Consider the following 24,955-nt stretch of genomic DNA (forward strand, 5'->3'; position numbering starts at 1 on the left):
CATTTCTTTGCTCTCCTTTGAAACAGAATTCCTCAAAAGTATTTTCTATTCTCATAATCTCTAGTTCTTCTTCTTCAATTTTTTAATTGCTTGATACCGTAGTATTTTTCTAATGACTTTGGTTTTTTCGTTATGAAATATAACACAAGCAAAAAATTACCTAAAAGTTGATATTAATAGCTTAATAAATTATTAAAAACTCATATGAAAACCACCAAAATCAACAAATTGGATATTTCCAGCATCTCAAAAGCCCTTCATTGGCTTCTTCCAAATTACTACCTACCTCATCTCTTCCAATAGGTAATCATTCTCTTGATCTTTTATATTATTTCTTCATTATATAGCTCATATACCAGTTACGCATCTGATATGGTTTGGCTGTGTCTCCACCCAAGTCTCACCTTGAATTGTAGCTCCCATAACCACCATGTGTTGTGGGAGGGACTCAGTGGGAGGTAACTGAATCATGGGGGCGGGTTTTTCGTATGCTCTTCTCGTGATAGTAAGTCTCACGAGTTCGTTATAAAAGGCAGTTCCCCTGCACATGCTCTCTTGCCTGCTGTCATGCAACGTGTCTTTGCTCCTCCTTCACCTTCCGCCATGATTGTGAGGCTTCCCCAGCCATGTGGAAACGTGAGTCCGTTAAACCTCCTTTCTTTTATACATTACCCAGTCTCGGATATTTCTTCATAGCAGTATGAAAAGGGACTAATACAGCATCTCTAAGCAGTTCAGTTTTATCTGTTTCTGAACTTCGTTTAAATGGAATTATGTAGTCTTTGTGTCTGTGCATTCTTTGTATCTGGTTTCTTTTATTCCACATAATGTTTGTGTGATTACCTGTGTGTTATGTGTACTAGTAGTTTGTTTATTTTCATTGCTGTGCATGGTGTAAATGTACTACAGTTTGTTTTTCCATTCTGTCATTGATGGGATTTGGTTTGCTTTTATATTTTATTTTGAAAAATGCGATTATGAATATTCTTGTACTTGTCTCTTGATTTTTATGTATACACAGTTCAGTGGCATATATGAGATGTAAAATTGCTGACTCATAGGGACACATATCTTCAGTTGTAATAATGTCACATTATTTTCCAAAGTGTATTAATTTACAGTCTCACCCTCAGTACCTGAGAATTCCAGTTGTTCCACATGCTTGAAAAATTCTTAGCATTTTTAACCTTTTTAATTTTTTGTCATTCTGGTGGGCCTGTGGTAGTAATCCATCCATTTTAAGTTTACATTTATATTATGACAATTAAGGATAAACACTTTTTTTTTTTTTTTTTTTGAGACGGAGTCTGGCTCTGTTACCCAGGCTGGCATGCCGTGGCGCGATCTCGGCTCACTGCAAGCTCCGCCTCCCGGGTTCACGTCATTTTCCTGCCTCAGCCTCCCGAGTTGCTGGGACTACAGGAGCCTAGCTAATTTTTTTATTTTTAGTAGAGACGGGGTTTCACTGTGTTAGCCAGGATGGTCTCAATCTCCTGACCTCATGATCCACCCGCCTCGGCCTCCCAAAGTGCTGGGATTACAGGCGTGAGCCACCTCGCCTGGCCAGATAAACACCTTTTCAAATGGCAACTGGCTATTGGGACACCACTTTTGTGAAGTATCTGTTCAAGTCTCTTGCTTGTTATTTTTTGGTTGTCACTATTTCTTACTGTTTTGTGGAGGTTCTTTATACGTTATTCTGGATATTAGTTCTATGTCAGCTATATAGATGAAAATATCTTTTTCCAACTCATGCTGTCTTTTAACTTTCTTAATGATAATTTTCGTGAACGAAATATAGTTTAATTTATTAATACTTCCTTTACAAATAGAGCTTCTACATCTTATTAAAAACCTCCCAACTCAATGTTATGAAGTTATTCTCCTATATTATTTTCTAAAACAATTATTTATTTTGCATTTTATATTTAGATCTTTATCCAAAAATTTGTATTTGTTGATCATGTGAGGCATATGTTAGTTTATATATTTTTTCTCCATGTAGGCATCCAATAATCTTTCCCCAGATATCCACCTGGCTAACTCCCTCTAGTTTCAAGTCTCTGGTCTCATGTCATCTTATCAATAAGGCCTACCCTGACCACCCTAATCAAAATTGCAGCCTATATCCATCCTTCAAACACTGCCCCAGTCTCTGGCACTGTATTCTCTTATGATAAACTGTACAATTTGTTTATTATCTGTTTCTTCATTCGCATGTAAGTTCCATGAAGGAAAAAAATCTGTGTCTATTTTGTTCACTGATTTATATCAAGTACCTAGATGGTGCCTAGACCAGAAAAGGTGCTTAACTGATACTTGAACTATATGAGTGAATAAAGCAATGCACAAAAATAGGAGAAAATACTTTGTTCAAGTCAGTGCCTACACTTGTTCATGTAACTGTATGATTTATTGTATTGATGGTATCCAATATGTGAAATTTTGAAATATGGTGCATTTGAGCATGTGCACTATTTTATTTATTTATTTAAAGACTTTAAAATAATTAAATATTTTAAATAAATGTTTAATAAAATATTTTGGAAACTCTGAAGCTGCTCTGTGGACATCTAGGTTCCTGTGAAATGTCCGTTCATTCAACAGATATTCGCAGAGCACCCACTAGGTGCCAGTAAATGTATGAGAAGTCCTGTGGAATAAGACTGAAGTTGTCCTTGCCTTCAAGCAACTTGCAATTGCCTAAGAACACAGTTTAAAACCACAAAACTAAGGTATTTAAATTTAATTCCAATCTTTGTGATTCAGGTTAAGTGGCTCCAGCAATGTAAGATTAGTGTCAGAGAAGGCCTAAAGAAATCATCAATGAAAGTTATTTTGAGCATGAGATGAGGCCCTGGATCAGGTCAAGATCCACCCAGGACTTGACTTAGTGTCTAGGTCAGCCTGTGACCTACATGGCTTTAAGTAAGTTTCCTGAGGGTGGATTTTACAGGACTTAAAGGTTTCCTGGGTAACCTTTAAGAGAAGGTAATAGAAGGAGCATTCACATGGAAGCAAAGACTTATTTTGAGTTTTAATTCACTCAATTGTTATATTATTCATTCATTCATCAAATATATGTTGCATCTGCATCTTTTCAGGGTGAGGTAGGCACTATTGTTACTCTCATAAATACTCAGAGATGTTTAAAAATAACTTGCCCAAATCTATAACATTTTTAGGTGGCAGACCTGGGCTTCATTCTTTGGCACTCTGGCCAGAAATCAAAATCTTGGCCCCTCCTTTATTCATTAACTCATTAACTGATCAATTAATTCCTTTGTCTAGCAGCTACCTAGTGAGTGCCTACTATGTTCCAGGAAGTATGCTAAGAGCTGGGATAATGGGTGAACAGGGCAAAGGCTGTTCTGATCTTTTATGAGCTGATGGCCAAGCGATTACCCACATGCAATGTGGTTTATAATTATGCTTGGACTTTCTTTATCACAGGTTTATTTTGAGCATCTAAATGACATACAAATTTGGGAGCATTTTTGTAAGCTACAAAGTTCTCTACAGTCAGCAGTTTATCATAATTATTATTTATTCAAAGGTTATATGATTCAATAATATTAAAAAATTATTCTCACAATTTGACATTCCTTCTATAATTTTTGTTTGCTCTCTTCCTTTCTCCTTTATGCGAGTAAAAACAAATATTTACAAGGTGACATAATTTAAATGAGCCCCATTTATAGGAATTTGAATTTCTAAAATTTATTTAGAAAAGTAAATTAAACAATAGTTCTCTTAGTTTATTTAAAACATCATTTAATATATAAAAGTATTGGATTTGCACATACATTTTCAAGGATATGCTGTATATGTTTGCACTAACTGGTTGCGGTGCTTATATTGAAGCCATTTTTAAAAAATGAAACAACAGACCAAAAATACCACTTTATCCCAAAAGAGTCAGGCATCTCTGTCCTGAGTTTTGATTTCTTGATTGCTGCCACATTAAAAATTTTTGAAAAAATTAGGAATATGTATTTTAGTAAATTATGTATCACGTACATAAAATCTGGAAACAGATGGCAAGGGTTATTAGCTATATGACCTTGGGTGGGTCATTCAACTTCCCTGTTGTTGATTCTCCTTATCTGTAAAGTGGGAATGATCATAACAAACTATTTCTCAGTGTTGTGAAGCTCAAGTGAGTCAATATAAATCAACTGCTTATAACTAGGTCTGCTGTCTGGTAAGTTGTTATTTCTGTTTCTGCTAAAAAGAAACCTTAAATCTTTTTGAAAAAGAAAGAAAGGGAAAGGAGGAAGGGAGGAAGGAAGGAAGGAAGGAAGGAAGGAAGGAAGGAAGGAAGGAAGGCAGGGAGGGAGGGAGGGAAGAAGAAAATCATTATTAGATTTAGAAAACCTGACTGTAGTCAACTCTTTTCTCAGAGTTTTGATTGTTAAATTCATTTCTGTTGTCAGAAAAAGAGAGAGCGAGCGAGAGAAAGAATAGCTACATGTGATTATCTGAAGCTGAAAGCCAAGCACAAGTTAGATAGCAGCCATGAACGCAATGCCCAGTTTTGAAGAGGAGCTTAAAACATAAGTCAGTGTCTGGACACATTTGTTAAATTATCCTCAGCATTTCCATGTAGATCCTATTATTTCTACAAATTCCTTCATAATATTGCACTTTTTGTCATGATGAACACAACCTCTCTTATCTCAGAAGTGGGGTTTTCCAGCTGTTGGACTGAGGAAGCTCTATTCTTATGAGTTTCATATGGAAGCAGCGATAAGAAAGACAACACTGTGGTATTTTAACTAGCTGCTCTGATGAAAAGCTTCCATTGTCAGGTGGTGTAACACCAATTGTTAATTTTAATCAAAGGGAATCTAATAGCTTAATGAAATCATTGACATTAGATGTTCCTGGCCCTCCAGCAAATTGCTGACCATATTATGGAAGTTTATTTTTCACATATTAAAGTAATTACACTGCAGAACCCAGCAAACTTATTTATCAATTTTTTTGTTTTGTATTAAAGAAGCCCTTAATTCCTATTTCATTATGCTCTATGTAGCTGCTTTGTAGGTGAGAGAAATACCATGTTTTTAACCTCTTAATTGATGTAGATCTTTGGCAAAATTCTATGGTCATACTGTTTCCTGCATTTTCCATCTGAGGGGACAAAATGTATTTTTGTTTCCTAATATTTAGATATTTGTGAGGAGTCTTGATCAAACCATCTTTTGTTTTACATGATAATTATATAAAATTATTGGTTATTGATTGATCACTCTATCAGCTCTCATCCTGTGTGGTATCTTACAAATCACTCCTAGGATAGTTTCCATAACCTCAAAATGTAAAGTGGTTACTAATGAGCCTTCTAGCAGTCAAACAATAGGAGATTTTGAAATTCTGCTGTTAAGAATTAAAGACCATAAAATGTAATTCTTAATTTTTAAACATAATTTAAAACATATTTATATTCATCTGCTTCTATATTCTATGCGTGTGTGTGTGTGTATATATATATATATATATCAATCACAATTTTCAGTTATAGGAAATTGTGGGCAGCTGATCAACTATTATTAATCATAGCTATTTCTTGAACCAGATAATTTAGCCTCTGTTAATAGCATATAGTGTATTGGTCTCTTAGTTAATTAATGATACATTTTGAGTGACAAATATATTAAAGGAAATGTGTTTGCTTTATTTGTGTTTTTATTATCTTTCCAATAAAATTATGAGGTCTTTGTAACCAGGAAAATGGCATTTATTATTTTTATATTCCTCCTCCTAAGAACTACATGATTATGAAATCCCTGATATAACTAATAAATAAATATTAGTTATTTATTGATGTGTAGCAACTTACCTCAAAACTTAGTAGCTTAAAACAACTATAATTGTTTATTATGTCTGTGGTTCAGGAATTTAGGAATGGTTTCACTGGTGTTTCTAACTCAGGATTCTCACAAGGTTGCAGTCACAAGTAGCGGGGGGGTTTCAGTCTAAAGGCTTGACTGGGACTAGAATTTGCTTCCAAGGTAGGTTAATTATATTACTGATAAGTTAATACTGGGTTAGTGGCCGGACTCAGTTCTTCATGTAAGGTAGTCCATAGAGATGTTTAAATCTTCATGATGAAGGTAAAGAATCCCAAGAGACTGAAGTTGAAGCTTTTATGTCTTTTATGACCTAGCCTTGGAAATCACATGCTGTCATTTCTGCGATCGGTCATAACCAGTCCTGATTCCATGTTAGAGGAGACTACATAAGGACACAGGTACCAGAAGGTAAGGACCACTGGGGGTTCCCTGAAAGGATGGCTACCATGCTGACTGATAGAGTTGTCTCCACTACTCAGAAGTCAACAATCTGTACTTGCTAACTCTTACCTGACATCCATTACCATAAAAATGATTCAGATAAAGATGTCAGAAAAACTGATTATTTTAACATAGATGACTTAAGGTTTCATAACTCTCAACCATATTTGTGGTCTGTAAGAGAAAATTCAAATTATATTGGCTTAAACAAGGAGGGAAGTTGTTGATTTACACAATGCAAAAGATTAGAAATAAAGTGGACTTAATCTAGGTACTCAACAATGCCATGAAATACCTACTACATGTTTCGTCTCCTTGTTACACCCTCATCCTAAAATGGATTCCTTTCATGGTAGTGAAATGGCTGCCAAATACTCCTGGTAGTTTCATTTGTATCCATGTTATTAGTTTAACAGTAGTTTTCTGACTGAACCATCCTTATGGCCATGGCAAAGGAACTATCCTGAATGCATAGGTCATTTGAGACACACCCAAAAAGCAAGGGTGCTACGAGATAGGGAAAGGATGAAAAAAAAAAAATACTGGGAGGAACTACAGTGTCTTCTACAGGGACAGATATTCATATTTGTTAAAATTGGTAGCCCTGATTAAACTAACCAGATACATATGCTGTACCAAAATAAGGATATTTTATACTGCCCTTCTCTTCTTTCTGTAAAAACAAAGCAAATTCTTCAAAATTTCGATGCCTCTCCTAAATATCTCCTAAAGGGTACATTGTTCTTTTTAGTCACTTTATTAAAATTCAGATATAACTTTATACATTTGCAATGCTAATACCTCGCTTTCAAAGTAAGTCACCACTTAAATAAGGTTTCAGTTATTTGAGGTTTGCATATTTGGGCAGCAGTGATTCTGGTTACTTGCCAATGAACAAGAAAGTTTGAAAATAGACTCAATATTTGGGCCATAATTATAATCAATTAATTCACTTGTCGTTCTCTACCAATAGACTGTAAGCTTCTTAAAGTCCTGTACTATACGTTTTCTTTTTCTCTTCCCAGTATCTATTGTGTGCCTGGAACACAGACGAAAGTCAGTAAATAATTAAAGAGTAGATGGGTGAAATTTGAGGCTACATTAATACTATTCTAGCACCCAGTCCAGTGTGTGATGCTTCAGGTAGTCAATAAATGATGTCCATCTGCTTTAGAGAATTTCATACACATCACATTAAAGACTAACAATTGCAATTTCAACCTGCATCATTTTTCATTTTCTAGGCCATATGTGAATCTCTGTCAACAGCTTGCAGATTTCTCTGATTGAAAATCCCATATGTTAGAATAAAATAGACCTGAGTTCAAATCTTTACTTTGCTCCTTAGTAGCTGTACAACTTTTTGACTAATTTGATAACCTCCATAACTCAGAGTTTTCTCTAGAACAGATAATGATTTTAGTGTCTACCTCATAGAAGTGCCAAAAAGTTAAATGAGATAATGGACTGTGTTAGTTTGTTTTTGCATTTCTATAAAGAAATACCTGAGACTGAATAATTCATAAAGAAAAAAGGTTTAATTGGCTCATGGTTCCACAGGCTGTACAGGAAGCAAGATGCTGGCCATCTGCTCAGCTTCTGGGGAGGCCTCAGGAAACTTTCAGTCATGGCAGAAAGCAAAGGGGAAATAGGTATGTTTTACTTGGCAGGAGCAGGAGGAAGACAGAAAGGGGGAGAGGTGCTACATACTTTTAAACAAAAGTAAAGATCTCATGAGGATTCTATTACTAGAACAGCACTTGGGGGATGGTTCTAAACCATTAGAAACTGCCTCTATGATCCAATCACCTCTCACTAGGCCCTCCCTTCAGCATTGAGAATGACAGTTCAATAAGAAATTTGGGTAGGGACAGATCCAAACCATAGTATGGAAATAAATCTCCAAGAGCACAGTTCCTCATACATAGTATGCTAATTAAGCATCAGCTATTGTTACTCATATGTGGAGATTTTGCCCCTATCTCCCATAAAATACAAGGAGATTTCACATCGAAATTCAAAGTTTCGTGAAACTTAGAATTGCATTGGAAACCTTCTTGGCATCACCAATATTTTACTCATGGGAAATTGGGTACTGCAGAGCAGAGGAGTGGAATGTAGTATAAAATATTAGTAAAGAGCAAGCACTTTGAATTCAAATAGGTCTGATTTGGTTACTGATGTTGCCACTTCTTACCTGTGTGACCTTGAGCAACTTAACTTACCTCTTGTGTTAGTTATCTATTGTCACATAACAAATTAACGAATTTAGTGGCTTAAAAAAACATACATTTATTATCTCACAGTTTCTGTGGGTCAAAGAGTTGGGGCATTTTTACTGGTCTTCCGCCTAGTGCCTCAGAAAGCTGCAACTCACGTTTAAATCAAGCCTGGGTTCTCATGAGAGGCTCAGCTGGGAAACACTCCATTTCCAAGCTCCCTCAGGTTGTTGGCAAAATTAATTTTCTCATGCCTGTAGTATTTATGGCAACTTGCATCTACAAAGCCACCAGTAGAGAAATTGAGTATGTTAGCAAGATGGAGCATTATGTGATAAATTGTAATCATGGGAATGATTCATCACCTTTGACATGTTCTGTTGGTTAAAAATAAGTCACAGGTCTCACTCACACTGAAGAGGAGGGGATTATACAAGATACAGGCACCAGGAAGCAGGGAAGGGACATAAGGGCCACCGTAAGGTCTATCCACTGCTCCCTAAGCTTTCATTTCTTCTTCTGTGTAATGAGTAAAAATAGTGCCAACCATGTACAGTAATCCATACAAAGTGCTTAGCATTCTGCTTGGCACTTGATGACAGCTTATATATTGGTACAATCTATTAGTTGCTTATTAGGTAAGGGTAAAAATGAATAATTAGCCAGAGTGAGCTAGCGAAAATCAGGACCACTTGCAGGTAATTCATCCTCATTGCTCCTACAAGCTCCTAAATTTAAGGTATCTCTGTTTCTGTTACATGACACTTCTCAACACTGCTGTTATTTTGATGCCACAAAGCCCTTTTCTTCACACTTCAGTAATACAGGCTTGACTTTTATTCCCTCAGAATCAGATTTTCTAGGCTAATAACTATATTGATAAATTAATTTTTGATAATAGGTAAAAGCCAGAGAAATACTTTTCCTTTGTCTTTTCTCCATTCCTTCCTCTCAAATGTAAAGCATACTTTAAACAGTGCCATATATGAAACAAACACTTTTAGGGTAGAATTTGACAATTCACAAATTGCTCTAGCATACTTTACTGAGCTTTTGAGAAGCTAAGTAGTCTTCTCTCTCTTCTGCAACTATACTACTGTAACACTCTTTTGGAGATTCTCAAAAATATATGCCAAATTAAATTTTAACTAATGTCTATTTCAGAGTTTGTCCCTATGCTAACTTTAACATTTAAATAAATTAGTATAATAAGAATTTTGAACCAAGGGGGAAAATATCAAGAAGTTTCATTCATCACAGTTGGGTAAAAGATTATTTAGAGATAAGCATTTGGGCTAATTCAAATCATACTAAGGAGGTGGAATCATTACATTGACTTCCAAGTTTAGCCTGGTTTGTGGTATAAAGGAGGTTCACAGCCTTATTCACAAGCATGAATAATCTACATTGGAATTTATTTATTTAAAAGCCAGACTAAAAATATAATGAAGTACTAGACTACATCATTACACCATAATCAACCACAAACAATAATAAAACTGAACAAAACATATAAATTATTGGGTTTGAGGCTTTGCACAATAGGCAGCACAAGACAATGATCCCTGAAAAATAAAAATGTATAAAGGGAACTGCATGATTTCTGTGGTTATTTGCCTGAAACAAATCCCCAACAATGATATTAGGATGGAGAATCCAAGAAAAGAAGAAAAGTTTCTGCTGAGCTAAAGAAGCTAAGATCTAAGTATAGGAACCCTCCCTGAAGCAGTTGAAGTCTGAAAGAAAAGACAGTGGGGGCAAAGAGGCTCTTTATGATAAATACAAGTCTGTGAAGGCAAGGGCTCCTCATGAGTTCCTGATTGAGGCTCATTTGCACATACACAGAATAAAACTACCCAGGTCTACCAGGGACCAGCTGCTATGGATTTTATAGCAAAACAGAGATATAAAAGTTTGAATAGTGCTAAGGAATATTAGAGTTCTGGCCTATATAGAGTAGAAAAATCTCATTAACACTTTTGAATTTAACTGAGATATCAAAGTAAGGCCCCTCAGGAGAGACTTCCCCTCAAAAGTAAAGTCCACACCTTAGAGTTAGTTCTACTCTGTAGCAGCCTTAACCAACCCCAAATCAAGTTCTGATGACAACTTTAGAATTGATGGTTTGGAGGTAGGATCTAATATTAGAAGGACTGAATAAATGTTTTTAGTTTTCTGCAAATCCATCTAAAAACACACAAAATAAAGCCTACACAGTTTAAAGGGGGAAAAAAAGCCTATACAATTTCAGCCTCTAATTGAAATGCTTATTAAAGCAAAAGCAAAACAAAAATACATACCCTTCAGAGGAAAATAATAGAATCCAGAATCTCTACAGTGTTACTGACAATGTCTAGTATGCAATAAAAATAACTAGACATGCAAAGAGACAGAAAAATGCAGCTCAGCTTTAAGTAAAGAAAAACAGACATTAGAAGTCAAATTCAAGATGTCCAGGCTGAGCGCAGTGGCTCATGCCTGTAATTCCAGTGCTTTGGGAGGCTGAGTTGGGCAGATCATGAGGTCAGGAGTTCAAGACCATCCTGGCCAACGTGGTAAAATCCTGTCTCTACTAAAAATACAAAAATTAACTGGGCATGGTGGCGCGTGCCTGTAATCCCAGCTACTCAGGAGACTGAGGCAGGAGAATTGTTTGAACCAGGACCCAGGAGGCAGAGGTTGCAGTGAGCTGAGATGGCGCCACTGCACTCCAGCCTGGGCTACAAAGCGAGACTCCATCTCAAAAAAAAAAAAAAAAAAAAAAATCAAATTCAAGATGTCTTGTTATTGGAGTTAGCAGACAAATACTGTAAAGCAACTAATATATTTTCAAAGAATTAATGAAATATGTTCAAATAAATAATAAAAAATATGCCTAAATGCATAAGTATGTAGGCAATCTTAGCAGAGAATTGAAACTACACAAAAAACAAAACCAAAATTCTGGAACAAAAAAATACATTAACTGAAGTGGAAAATTAACTGAATGGGTTGATAGCAAATTGGATATGGAAGAATACACAGTCAATAAATTTGGAGACAATTAAATAGAAGTTGTTTAATTTGGAAAAGAAAGGGGAAAATTTAAAGAACGTTGAAAGATGTACAAGGATCTGATGGACAATATTAATTGGAGTCACAAGCATTACAGTTTTCTAAATATGATGAAAGACCTCACTGAGGCACATCAGATTTACTAAAATCCAAACATAAAAAGTTTTGAAATCAGCTAGAGATCAAAGACATAACACATGAGGAACAATTATAAAAATAATTGTTAGCTTTTCACAGGAAACAACAGACTCTAGAAGACCATGAATGACATATTTATAATGTTAAAAAATGCAAAAACAAAAATAGACTCTTAATGTATATTTGAATTGGCAAAAATACACTTTAAAAGTAAGGATAAAATAAAGACATTTTCAGATTAAAAAAAACCTGAGACCATGTATCACCAGCGGATTAACACTACGAGAAATGCTAGAGAATATTCTTCAGGGAGAAGGAAATAATATCAAATGTAAAAATTACATCTAGAGGTAGGAAAGAGAACCAAAATGGGAAAATATAAAAGAAAATATTATTTTTCTTGTCATAAGTTAATGTAAAAATAATAATATTAAAGGCAGAGTTAAAATGTACATCAAGGTAAATAAATGACAACAATGGTACAAGGAAGCAAGGGTTACATTTGTGAAGTAGAAACTGTGAAGTGTAAAATGTAAAATGGGAAGTTTATTAGTTATTAATAGTAATTAGTTATTAGTGATGCAATGAAGGGTGTGAAGTATGTGGGAAGTGTGAGGTGTGAAGTGAGAAAATATTAACTCTAAATACATTTTGATATGTAAAGAATGGATACTATAAATACATTAACTAAAAATAAAATAATTGTAGCTAATAAGCCAAAGAGGTCATGAAACATAACCAAATAATTCAAAAGAAGGCACACAGGAAGAAAATAGAAACAAAGGTCAGGTGAGAAAAACAGAAAAATAATAGCATGAATATATAGACTTAAACCTAACCATATTTATGACTACACTAAATACAAATTATTTAAATATTCTAATTAAAAGCAAAGTTTATCAGAGGGGATAAAAAGTAAGTCTCAGCCAGAGTTTATCTGTCAGAAATGTACTTTAAATACAAAGATGTACATAGATTAAAAATCAAAAGACAGAAAAAATATACTCTGGGAACACAAATCAAAAGAAAGCTATGCTGGGTATATTAACATCAGACAATAAAGGCTTAAGGACTATAAATATTAATAGAGATAAAGAGGAACATTTTACATTAATAAAAGGGGCAGATATACATCAGGAAGACATAATCCTAAAGATGTATACACCAAATAATAGAACTTTAAAATTAATGAAGCAAAAATTGACAGAAGCGAATGGAAAAATAAGAAATACATAATAATAGTTGGAAATGTAAACAACACTCTCTCATTATGATGAAACAAGTAGAAAAAATTTTGGAAGAATATAGAAAATTTCGGCAACATTGTTCACCAAGTTAATTGACATTTACCGAGCACTATACACACAACTGCAGAATAAACATTCTTTTCATATTGATTTATAATGTTCATAAAAATGTACCACATAGTGGGCCACAAACTGCTTCTCAATACATTGCAAACAATTGAGATCTTATGATATTTGATGTTAGACAACAGTAAAATTAAATTCAATACCAATAAAAAGAATATATCAAAAAATCTTGAAATATCTGAAAATTAAATAGCAAACTTCTAAATATCTCATGGAGACCAGAAGAAATCAGAAGATAAATCAGAACATGTTTTAAACTGAATAATAATAAAAACAAATCAAAACTTGAGGGAATGCTCTAAGCAGAGCTTAGAGTAGAACTTTAAGTATTAAATGTGTAGTTGAATGAAGAAAGTTTTAAGTTAATGATCTAATTTTCTACTTTGAAAAGTTAGAAACAACAATAAATTCAACACAATAAGCAAATTAAAAAAAATCAATGAATTAGAACAGGCAAACAATAGAGAAGATTAATAGCCAAGCATTAGTTCTTTGAAAAGGTTCCTAAAATTGAGAAATACCTGACTGGAATTATCAAGACAAAAAGGAATAAAATACAAGTCATCAGTGTTATAAATGAAAAAGGAGATATTATTACACATCATACAGACATTAAAAGGAATATGGGAAATAAACAATATGAAGAATTTTATGCTGATAAATTCAAAACTTGGTTGAAATGGTCACATACCGTAAAAAATACATTTTACCGTAACTGACATAAGATGAACTAAAAAATCTGAGTAATTGTATATCTGAATGTATAATAAGATATATATTATATATATATATAATAAGATATATAAAATTTGAATGTATAATAAGACCCAAGGAAAATTTAGGGTCCAAGTAATTTTACTGGTAAGTAGTATAAACCATTTATAGAATAAATAATACCAATTTTATGGAACAATAATAACAAAACTTTCAGAAAACAGAGATAAGTAGAATGCTTTTCAACAAATTTTATAAGGTGAGCATAAGCATGATATCCCAATTTGACAATATATTACTAAAAAAGAAAAGTACATATTAATATCACTCATGAACATAGGCATAAATATTCTCAACAAAATATTATCAAATTGAAAATAGCAATCTAATAAAAAAAGATAATATATCATGACCAAGTGGATGCAAGTTTTGTTTAAGCATTAAAAAGAATATCAATCAATGCAATCCCCCATATTAACAGACAAAAAAAGAAAAAATATAATTATATCAGATGTTTATGTTATATAAATACAGATATATAAATGTGTAATTATAACAGATACAAAAATAATGGTTAATAAAATTCAATACCTATTCAAGTTTAAATATATCCGTCAGCTAAGGATAGAAGAAAATTTTCTGAGTTAATAAGAAGCACTTCAAAATTCTAAAACTGCTATCATGCATAATGGTACAACACAAAAAAGATTTCTCTCTACAAATGAGAACAAGACAAGAATGTCTGTTCCATTAAATATAATGCTGGAAGTCCTTGCCAGTATAACAAGAAAAAGCTAAAGTGACATACATGTGCCAGTTTGGAAGGAGAAATGTAAAATTGCCTTTATTTACAGACTATGTAAGCAAAAGAAAATATTAGGGAATCTTAAGCAATGTATAAAAAATTTTCTGGACTTAACAAATGAATTTAGCCATGTTTAGGATACAAAATTTATAACAAAATCAATTAAATGTCTATTATATTTAAAAAATAAAAAATGACATAACAACAATAACAACAGCATGAAAATACCTAGAAATGAATGTAACAAAAGGCTTGAAAGATGACAACATTGAAACTGACAAAGAAATTAGAAAATGGAGAGGGACATCATATTAATGAATTGGAAGATTCTGTATTTTTAAGATGTCAGTTCTTCCCAAATTGAACTCTAGTTTGAATGCAATCCCCATCAAAATCCCAGAAAAATTGTTTAAAAATAGGCATTGTTAGGTTGATTCTACAATTTATTTCAAGAAGTCAAATGCTAATACTTCTAGAAGAAAATATAGAAGAGAATGTTTATAACCTTGGGAAAGGCAAAGATTTCGTGGATAGTAAATAAAAAGCACTGACTATAAAGCATGTTACATGAAGCTTAATCTAAAGTAAAACTTGTTTTTAAAAATACAGTATTAAGAATAAAAATTAAGCTACAGACTGGGAGAATAATTAAAATGAATAATTCTGACAAAAACTTCTAACCAGGATATATGAAAGCCTTTTACAACTTATTAATAAGAAGCTAGCAGATTAATTAAAAATGAGTAAAAGGACTTGAATAAACTTTTTATATAAACTCTTTAAGCACCTTTGTATACAAAGGTATCCAAATAGCCAATAAGTCATGAAAAGTTGCCCAGTATTACCAGGCATCATAAAACACAAATTAAACCATTATAAGAGAACATTTCACTTACTAGTGTGGCTAAAATTCAAATGAACATTAATATCAAGTATTGGCAAGAATGTGAAGCAAATGGAATTCTCACTCTTTGTTGATTAGATTGTAAGATATTATTGGGAAATAATTATTCAGTTTTTATAATGCAAAGCAAGCATTACCTTGTGACCTACCAATTTCAACCTTAGGTGTTTATTTTTGAAAGCATAGGCCCACAAAAAGACTTGTACACCAATGTTCACAGTAATTTTATTCATAGTTGTCAAAACTGGAAGGTAATATTCATTAATAGGTAAATATATAAACAGGTTATGGTATTTTAATACAATGAAATTTTGACCAGACACATACAGGAACAGGTTACAGATGTAAGAAATCTGAGAAATGACACACCACCACCTCTCTCCTGTTCCACTGATTACAGAGATTGAACTTGTTATGTGTAAGCAAACTACAAACAAAAGTATGAAGGCTGTGAATACCAGGAGGTTGGGATCATTTTGGCAGGTGGCTGCCATAGACATTTTTAAGAGGCAGTTATCTGATGAATATCTGGTGGTGAATTGGACTATGGGATGTCTGGAGTGATATAGGCAGGAAACTTAACTTGTATGTGGCAGAAATCAAACTATCATTTAATCCAAAATAAATTGTAAAGCAACTCATCTGCAGCAGTGAGACTGAAAATAATGTTGGATAAAACTCCTTCAAAAGGACTCAGTTTTGGAACCAAGACTAGGAAATACATGGTCCTCTTGTGTCCAAAGGTATCCAATTGGCTTGGCTCATTGCTGTATGTCTGTTGATGTTGATAGATAATTTGCAAATTGTGTTGTCAACACAACATTTAATCTGCTCTGAGCAGCTCATAAACAACAGTTTGATTAATTCTTTCAGTCCATGTCTTCTGGACAAGATTTACAGGGCTCTGCTTATTTGGATGAAAAATAGAGAAAGACAAGCTGTCAGTAGAAGGGGAGGGGAAAATGGGAAGATTTCCTTTTCTCTTTTTTTGGTTGAAGTTTAGAAGTGTTTTGAAATCATGATTCTTTAAATGTTTGGTTTTTGAAAGGAAGGATTTCAAAGTGAAACTCAGCAATTGGCATGAGACAAGACTCAGTGTCAAGGTGGCAAAAGTTAGGACAGACAGAGGCAGATTGGCTGTGGATTATTGTAGGGAGGGAAGAGTAAGTCAAGCCTAAGGCAGGAGATGACTTTCTGAATTACCCAATTAATTCCAGAAACCTGTTGGATGATTATAACTCAGAGAGCTTGCCATCCATGCTCTGTATGGAATACTAAAGTATTGTGATGAATAGAATTTTGTTCAACAAGCACATTTTGGAAAAAATAGAATTAAAAAGAGGCTATCAATCAGTGACATGAATATAGAGGTAAATGTTGTATTATTAGTAGTACTGAACAGTAATGAGAGACAGAGAGAAAGAGACTGAGTCCGTTGTCTTTTTCTTGTATTATTACGTGCCAGTTTTGTTCCTAAGGCCCCAAATCTGTTTAGTTGAGTGGTTTCTATTAATTTTGGCTTTGAAATAACTTTCCATTGAAGCATGGCTTTTAATCAGCACCTCTCTACCTGTGTTGATTTATCCTAGCCAAGATAAGTGAATAGAGTTCTAAATCGCTGTTTATGAATACCGTTGTATCACTTTGAAACATGAGGATCATCCAGGAGCTTAGGTGCAAAAACCTGGAAATGAATGTCAATTGGAATAAGGTCCTTTCATAGCAATTATGACACAAGATGTACAGACAGTCTATGGCTGATAGGGAAAAAAGATCCAAGAAAATAGCTATATAATAATTTCAGGACTATGAGAAATGTAAATAACCCAACACCACAATTCCTCCTTGTATTTGTCCCCTTTTATGTCTGTCTCCTCTCAAAGGGATAAATATGATTTTTATAAGCTGTATTTTGGAATGCACACATTTGCAGTGATCATGCCAAGTGTTTCTTTTGTTGTTCACATCTGCATCTTTCGATATGATGAAGAGTCAACAAGAAAGTAGATTTGGTTTTGTTCCTTTGACAAATAAAGTTCACTTTGGGACACCATTGGAGACAAGGGAGAGAAAACAACATTGCATCCATACCAGAAAAACCAAAGCTGAATTTTCTATTAGTGGCGGTTATAAGTTGTAACTTATATGTGATGGTCTTTGGAAATATTAACCCAGATTCAGAAATGAGTAATTATATTGACCTTGACATCTGTCCTCATTACCTTGTTCCCAGCTCACACAATTAGTTTAGCTGAGAATGTCATCAAAACCCTGCGTTTTAGATCTATTTCTAGCAAGAAACTCCTTCAAATCATTGCCCCATGAAAATTACAATATTAAGGACACAAAGGTATACGTGTATCTAATTGCAGTAATTGTGATGAGAAAGAATTCACATAAATCTCCTTTAGGGGCTTCATTCTGTTTGATGGACTTCATGTACTCTCTTAAAACTGAAATGATTTCAAAGCATTGTTCCACAAAAGATTATCAGCAATTATTGTATGTGAAAAGAGAAAGGGCAAGAGAGAACACTTTGAGAGGTTCACATTGTGAAATAAACTTCAGGCTTTTAACTTGAGGATGGCAGAGGCTGACTAAACCCTTGTAATTCTGGAACTCCCTGTTTACTGTGCTCACTCCCACTCCCACCCCTCAGACCACAATTTGTTGGGAGCATTGTTGTTGTACAAGCAATATGCTGACAGAGTTTAAATGTTAACACTACCCTCCTGAAAAATGAGCGAACCACGTACTCATACAAAGAAGAAAATACCTAGTAATTTTCAATCTCCTAAAAATAGTAATAATAGTCTATTGGGTTTATTTCATGATTATAAAAGCCTAATAATCTATGATAGCTGAAAGCAAGCGTGATTTATTAGGGTCTCTCACAGACAGAAGATAAACCCATAATGTGCAGGGAAACATTTTTTTAAAGGATTGTGCTAAAAAGAAAATAGACAACAGCTTGCTTACTCTGTAGCTCCAGAAAGTGATGATTTGAGGCTCCGAAATATCAGAGTTGATGAATGGGAGAAGCAAAATTATAACTGTTGTTCCATGGTGAGATAAACTTTCACCTCCGTGAAGAAAATATAGATTACTGAAACGGATTGCAAGCAATCAGCACTGTAGATTCTTCTTCCCTAACTGAGCAATGTTTGAATTTGCGCCTTTCAGACAAATGCATTAATAACATTTAGCCACTAGGTATTTGTGGAAGAAATTGGAAATTGTTTTTAATTTGTTGGTTTGGTGAAGCGATAATATATTGAGCCATAAGGGAGGGGGTTAAAAAAAAAAAAACTACTGGTATTTGATTTCTATTTGCATATGTAAATATATTAATGCAAACAAAGCCATGTTGTTCCTATAAACTCTCTCACACAAAGAAAAGGGTTAATAGACAGGCAGATTTTTTTTAAAAAAATGCATGACCATGTTGTGAAATATGAATTTAACACATAACTCATTGGAAGTTCCAATGAGTTATGGGCCTCATTTACTGCATATTACAGACATTTTTTTCATACTCCTTTTCAGCAAGGCATATGGTTTAAATTAGTTTCATCTTGGATTTTCTAGGGTCTTTTGTAGACTATTTCCTGCAACAAACTGTAATACTCTTGCTCTTTTAATTCTATAGTAAGATGCTATTAAATGCAGTTCTTTAATTACCATGTAAGGCAGTGCCTCAGGAACATATTCTGTAATAGCCACAAGCTGAGTAAGAGTTTAAATTACAAATTTATACTCAGTTGATGAACTTAAAGAAGCTGCAAATTCTTTATGGATACAGGTGAATGGGTAAAAGGTCAGTGTTAGTTGGGGGTAGCAGTAGGGGCCATTTGGGATGAAAGTGTTCAGACCCACCTTCAGTTGAATCAGGCAAGGAGACTGTGATAGGTAACAACATCCTGAAGGGTTAAGAATATTAAAGGACCCCATTTCCCATAACTTAGCTCATAAATCATATTTTCAGGTACTTTATATGATTTATGAGAGGCTGGCTGTCTGCATGATTAGGAAGTTGCATTAAAATGGCAATTGGTGCTTCCAAAACAGAGCCTTATGATAAGAATCCAAATCTCAGCAGAGAAGTTGTCGGAAAACTGGGGTAAAAAAGGAAGCATCTACAGTTCACTCTCCATGTCTAACACTCAGAATGTAAAATCGAAATATTAAGTGGGAGAAACACTGACTGAAATGATGATGCTTTGGTTTTTGATTTTTTTCCTCGCTGTGACCTTAAGCCATTTATTTTCTTTGGATCTCAGTTGCTTCTTTAGCAAAATAAAGGATTGAGGACACTCCTATCCCTGAATATGCATGCATTGCATATAGCTTCCATTTTGGGGCATATATTTATATCTTGTTTATTATCTATGTGCATATTATATATTGTGTGATATGTATGTATGTATGCATATATATATTATGTATAGGATGGTGTTTCCTTAAAAATAAAATATGTGAAAGGAGTTAGAGTGAATATATACATCTTTACATATACATACATATAAAAGAATTCTATATTTGCATGCATTCATATGCATATATGTATAAAGTATATATTATAAAATGATGTATACATATGGTACATCATGAGACAACTGGTCACTGTTCAGCACTATCAGCCTAAGGGTCTTGTTACCTAGTTTTACCTATTATTCTGAAAATAATAAATGCTGACTCCTAAAAATATAAAATTTATGAATGGGTTTATAAAATATAATCAAGCACTCTATTCAATATTATAGTTAGATAAGGATAGTATGTTGTTATCCTTTAGAAATGAAAACTTATAGGAAATTGGTATTTGACATTGATAGTAGGTAAATGAAAGATCAAAATAGAAGCTTATAACGGATGTCTTGTCACTTTATGTTAGTGAGAATAAATTCCATTTCAAGGGTGAATTAAAATTCATAGCTTCATTATTAGACCTTTATTTGAATGCAACTCATCCATATTTGGATTTTATAATGGAGGACTGGTACATCTTTTGAAGCTTTCTTAACAGGATCAAATTCAGTATATATTGATCTCTTTGCAAAAGACATTTTATCCCATTAGGTTATCTGGAAGTTGTATTTTCAAACACACCAGCCATGAGTAAGGCTGAACAGGTCACTGAGAAGCCAATAAGTAGAATGTGTTTGAGTTCAGAATTATTTGACATATTGAATCAGTTCAGACCTATGAAACCTAAACTTTTCATTATTAACAGGAATTTAGATAAAGGTTTTTTTCCCTAATAAACTATCCATAGTCATTGTACTCAAAAACACCACTGACCTCTGGTGTTTGCGCTCATTGCTTAGAGCCATTACCTCTATCTCAAGCTCTTAATCAGCCACATAAGAAATCAACAGTCCTTCAGATTTGGTCATTTGGGCTGCTGGCCCCTTTTTCAGTGAGACAAATTCTACTGTTCCAGTTAGTTTCCCATGGCTTCCTTCCCCGCTGCTCCTGGATCCAGTCACTTTCAGTTAAGAATCTTCAATGTGCTTTGGACCAAGGATCCTGTTGGTCGTGATGCTAATCATATCTTTGTCTCTGACTCAAACATGCATCACTTTCTTCCCTTGAAGCCTGGGCAGCACATATGGGAGCCAAATTTGAGTTTTCTACATGAAACCAGCAGCCTTTTTTTTTTTTTTTTTTTGAGACAGAGTCTTGCTCTGTCACCCAGGCTGGATGAGTGCAGTGGCGCGATCTGGGCTCGCTGCAAGCTCCGCCTTCCGGGTTCACGCCATTCTCCTTCCTCAGTCTCCCGAGTAGCTGGGACTTCAGGCGCCCGCCACCACGCCCGGCTAATTTTTTGTATCTTTAGTAGAGATGGGGTTTCACCGTGTTAGCCAGGTTGGTCTCGATCTCCTAATCTCGTGATCCGCCCTCCTCAGCCTCCCAAAGTGCTGGGATTACAGGCGTGAGCCCCCTTACCCGACCCCAGCAGCTTTTAACATTAAAATTTTGGAAATATTTTTCAAAAAGTTCATTTGATTATTTTCTCTCTCTCTCAGTAAAATTGAGACTCTGCTAGGTCAACAGTTATTTTGTTTACTACCGTATTTCCAGAGGCTTGAACAGAGACCAGTACGTAATAACCATTCAATAAATATTTCTGAATAAATCAAAGTGAGGATGCACAAGAGTTCTTTGATTTAATTTCAGTGATTTGCAAATAAAGCTGTATAGAAATAATATGTAAAAATGTTTTTAAAATAACAATTCTGGATGCCATCCCTGAAGATAATAAATCAGGTTTAGATAGGGCCCAAGAAAGTAGGTGTACACATACATACATACAAGCATGCATACATGTGAATGTATATAATAGATTTTGTAATATTTTAAAAAAGATATTAGCATTTGAAATATACTAGTATTTCTGTAGAATAGCTCTTAGAAAGTGAATTGCTGATTAAAAGGTAACGAATTTTATATATTTGTAAAATATTGTCAAATTTCCCTCCAAAAGAATCCTATACTAATATGAATTTTTATTCTCAATACTCTAACCTACATTGAATATTAACAATTAATTTTTGTATCATGTTCTAATCTAAGATTCAGCTTTTTCTGTTTTTTAATCATGTATGTTTCCTGTTCTATAAATTTTTTATCCAAATATTTTGCTCATTTTTCTATCAAATTATTTGGGTTTATTTATTTAAAGATAGATTCTTTAAAATTATTTCAACTTTATTTATTTAATAATGTTGTCCACTGTATATGAAGTATATCAGGTTTAACACAGCACATTCACATATGTACATGAGTTTATTTCTCTAGACTATTTATAATTTTCCCTCAATCTATTGAGGTGTGGTATTGGCTCACACCAATACTGTATTTATTTTAATTTCTGTAAGTGTATAATATATTTTGTTATCTGGTAAAACAAGTTGCCATCATTGTTCTGCCTTTATAAAATTATCCTGGCAAGTCTTGCATATTTTCTTTTATAGAAATAGTTAAGATTACCTTATCAAGTTCTATGAAAAAATCTTGTTGGGATTTTGATAGGTATTTAACCAGAATTCCAGATTAATGTTGGTGAAATGAATATCATTTTTGTTGTTGTTGTTGTTGTTTTTGTTTTGTTTCTATGTTTGTTTTTTGAGACAAGGCCTAACTCTGTCGCCCAAGCTGGAGTGCAGTGGCATAATCATGGTTCACTACAATGTCGGCCTCCCGGGCTTAAGCTACTCTCCCACCTCAGACTCCTGAGTGGCTGAAACTACAGATGTGCACCACCATGCCCAGCTAATTTTTTTTTTTTTCAAGAAATGAGCATCTTCACAATATTATGTCTTCTTTTTGAGGAACATAGCATATCTTTGCCTTTATTCAGATATTTTATGTCTCATCTAGTACTTGAAGATATAGTGACAATTAGATCCAATTTGACTTTTGATTTATTGGGAAAAAAAAGTGTCCATATCTTCATCTTGCTATTTGTAAATTACTTGCAAAAAGTAACTTGGAACACTTATATCCTATCATATAGTCAAAAAACACAAACACATTAAAAAATAAATCAGTGGTTTCTTTAAAATGCAGTTTTTAAAGATCCCAAATTATAAGCGCCAGAAAGTTTTTTGTCTTATGTTTTGATGGTACTAGCTACAGTTAAAATTTAATCTACATTTTAATACTCATTAGTTCTACAAACAAAAAACAATATATGTCATTTTTGAATTTATTTGTTAACAATTCATGCTTTTATTACATAATTAAAGTCAATGAAACAGTATGCATCACTTGTTAAATGGGAAAAGTAAAAATTTGTCTTTATATTGTATGAATAATATTAATGGTTCTATTAGCATCTTTATAATATGATATTTAATAATGTATGAATCCAAAACCACTTTTTTCTTATATCACTTATTATACCCACAGAAAATGATAAAATGATACAAAATAATAAGAGGGGGCTCTCAAGGTTCTATGCGACAGGAATGGCTGTTTTTAAAGACAAGCAAGATTGCAGTATATTTCAGGATATGTGATACGGCTTGGCTGCATCCCCATCCAAATCTCATCTTGAATTCCCACGTGCTGTGGGAGGGATCTGGTGGGAGGTAATTGAATCATGGGGCAGGTCTTTCCCATGCTGTTCTTGTGATAGTGAATAAGTCTCACAAGATCTGATGGTTTTAAAAAGGGGAGTTTCCCTGCCCAGGCTCTCTTCTCTTGTCTGCTGCCATGTGAGACAAGCTTTTAACCTTCTGCCATGATTTTGAAGCCTCCCCAGCCACGTGGAACTGTAAGTCCATTAAACCTCTTTCTTTTGTAAGTTACCCGCTCTTGGGTATGCCTTTATCAGCAGTGTGAAAACGGACTAATACAATATGTTTCTATGAATGTGGTTCCTATTCCCTAATTTGGAGTAAGTGCCCAGTGTGCTTTGTTTTTGCCCGAGCTTGTCTTTTGCTTTTCATCCAAGATCTCCAATCATAACCAGACTGCTGAGACAGTGGATAGGGGCTGGAGAGAAGTTGAGGAACATAGCAGTCAAATACTTGCTCTTCATTTTACGATCATTGCTATTTTTCTTTCAGAACTTAAAACTATCAGGCTAAACATAATAATAATAACTTGGGCAACTTTACATTCCTATCTAGGACTTAATTTGAGGAACATTCATATTTTATCAGGAAATCAGCATTTCTCTTTTAAATATGTACTTTAAAAGGTTTATTGTACCCTAAGGTGTGATTTATGATATCTCGAGGCTCAGATATTTTCTGTTGGAATGCTCTTCCCACTCATTCACAAAAGTCAACTGGCCAATGGAATTCACTATACGGAGCTTGCTTTTAGAGGTATTCGGGTCACTGTTGCTGTTTAGAGATTCAAAAACTATAGCCCGGATACAGTGGTATGAAAAACCAGTTGTTTCCATGAAACCTTCCTTATTTTATTTTTTGAGACAGAGTCTTGCTCTATCACCCAGGCTAGAGTGCAGTGGTGTGATCATAGCTCACTGCAGCCTTGATTTCTGGGGCTTAAGCAATTCTGCCACCTCAGCCTCTCGAGTAGCTGGGACCACAGGCACTCACTGCCATACCTGGCTAATTTTTAATTTTTTTGTAGAGACAAGATCCTGCTATGTTGCCCAGGCTGGTCTCGAACTCCTGGGCTCAAGCAATCCTCCTGCCTTGGCTTCCCAAAGTTCTGGGATTACAGGCATGAGCCACCACACCTGGCCCTGAAACCTTCCTTTATTATTCTGTGTTAGGTCACAAAGAAGTCTTGATTTGAATTATTTAAGTTTCACACAGAAAGTTTGGTATATAGCTTTAACATTTTTATGTAATATCCCACAAGCATTTGAGTTCTTTTTCAAAGAAAAATCAGAGAACAGTTACAGGAGGGTGGGCATCCCCCACCTCACGCCACCAATCCCGCATTAAAGCAGCTAGTATGCTCTG

General features: G+C 34.2%; 1 long non-coding RNA gene across 8 annotated transcripts in view; it reads left to right on the forward strand.

The window, feature by feature from the left end:
* The first annotated feature begins 554 nt into the window (after positions 1-554).
* Positions 555-24,955, forward strand: part of LOC105374524 (uncharacterized) — a 507,306-nt gene continuing 482,905 nt past the window's right edge. For 7 of the 8 annotated variants that reach the window (XR_007058434.1, XR_007058432.1, XR_007058433.1 and 4 more), the window contains exons 1-3: positions 555-636; positions 2,608-2,735; positions 6,173-6,266. This is a non-coding gene — a long non-coding RNA (uncharacterized LOC105374524). Of the gene's footprint in view, positions 637-1,314; positions 1,619-2,607; positions 2,736-6,172; positions 6,267-24,955 lie in introns of those variants that run through there. The other variant, XR_007058437.1, reaches the window with a different exon arrangement.

This window comes from Homo sapiens, chromosome 4 (genome assembly GCF_000001405.40).
Source record: "Homo sapiens chromosome 4, GRCh38.p14 Primary Assembly".
Lineage (NCBI taxonomy): Eukaryota > Metazoa > Chordata > Mammalia > Primates > Hominidae > Homo > Homo sapiens.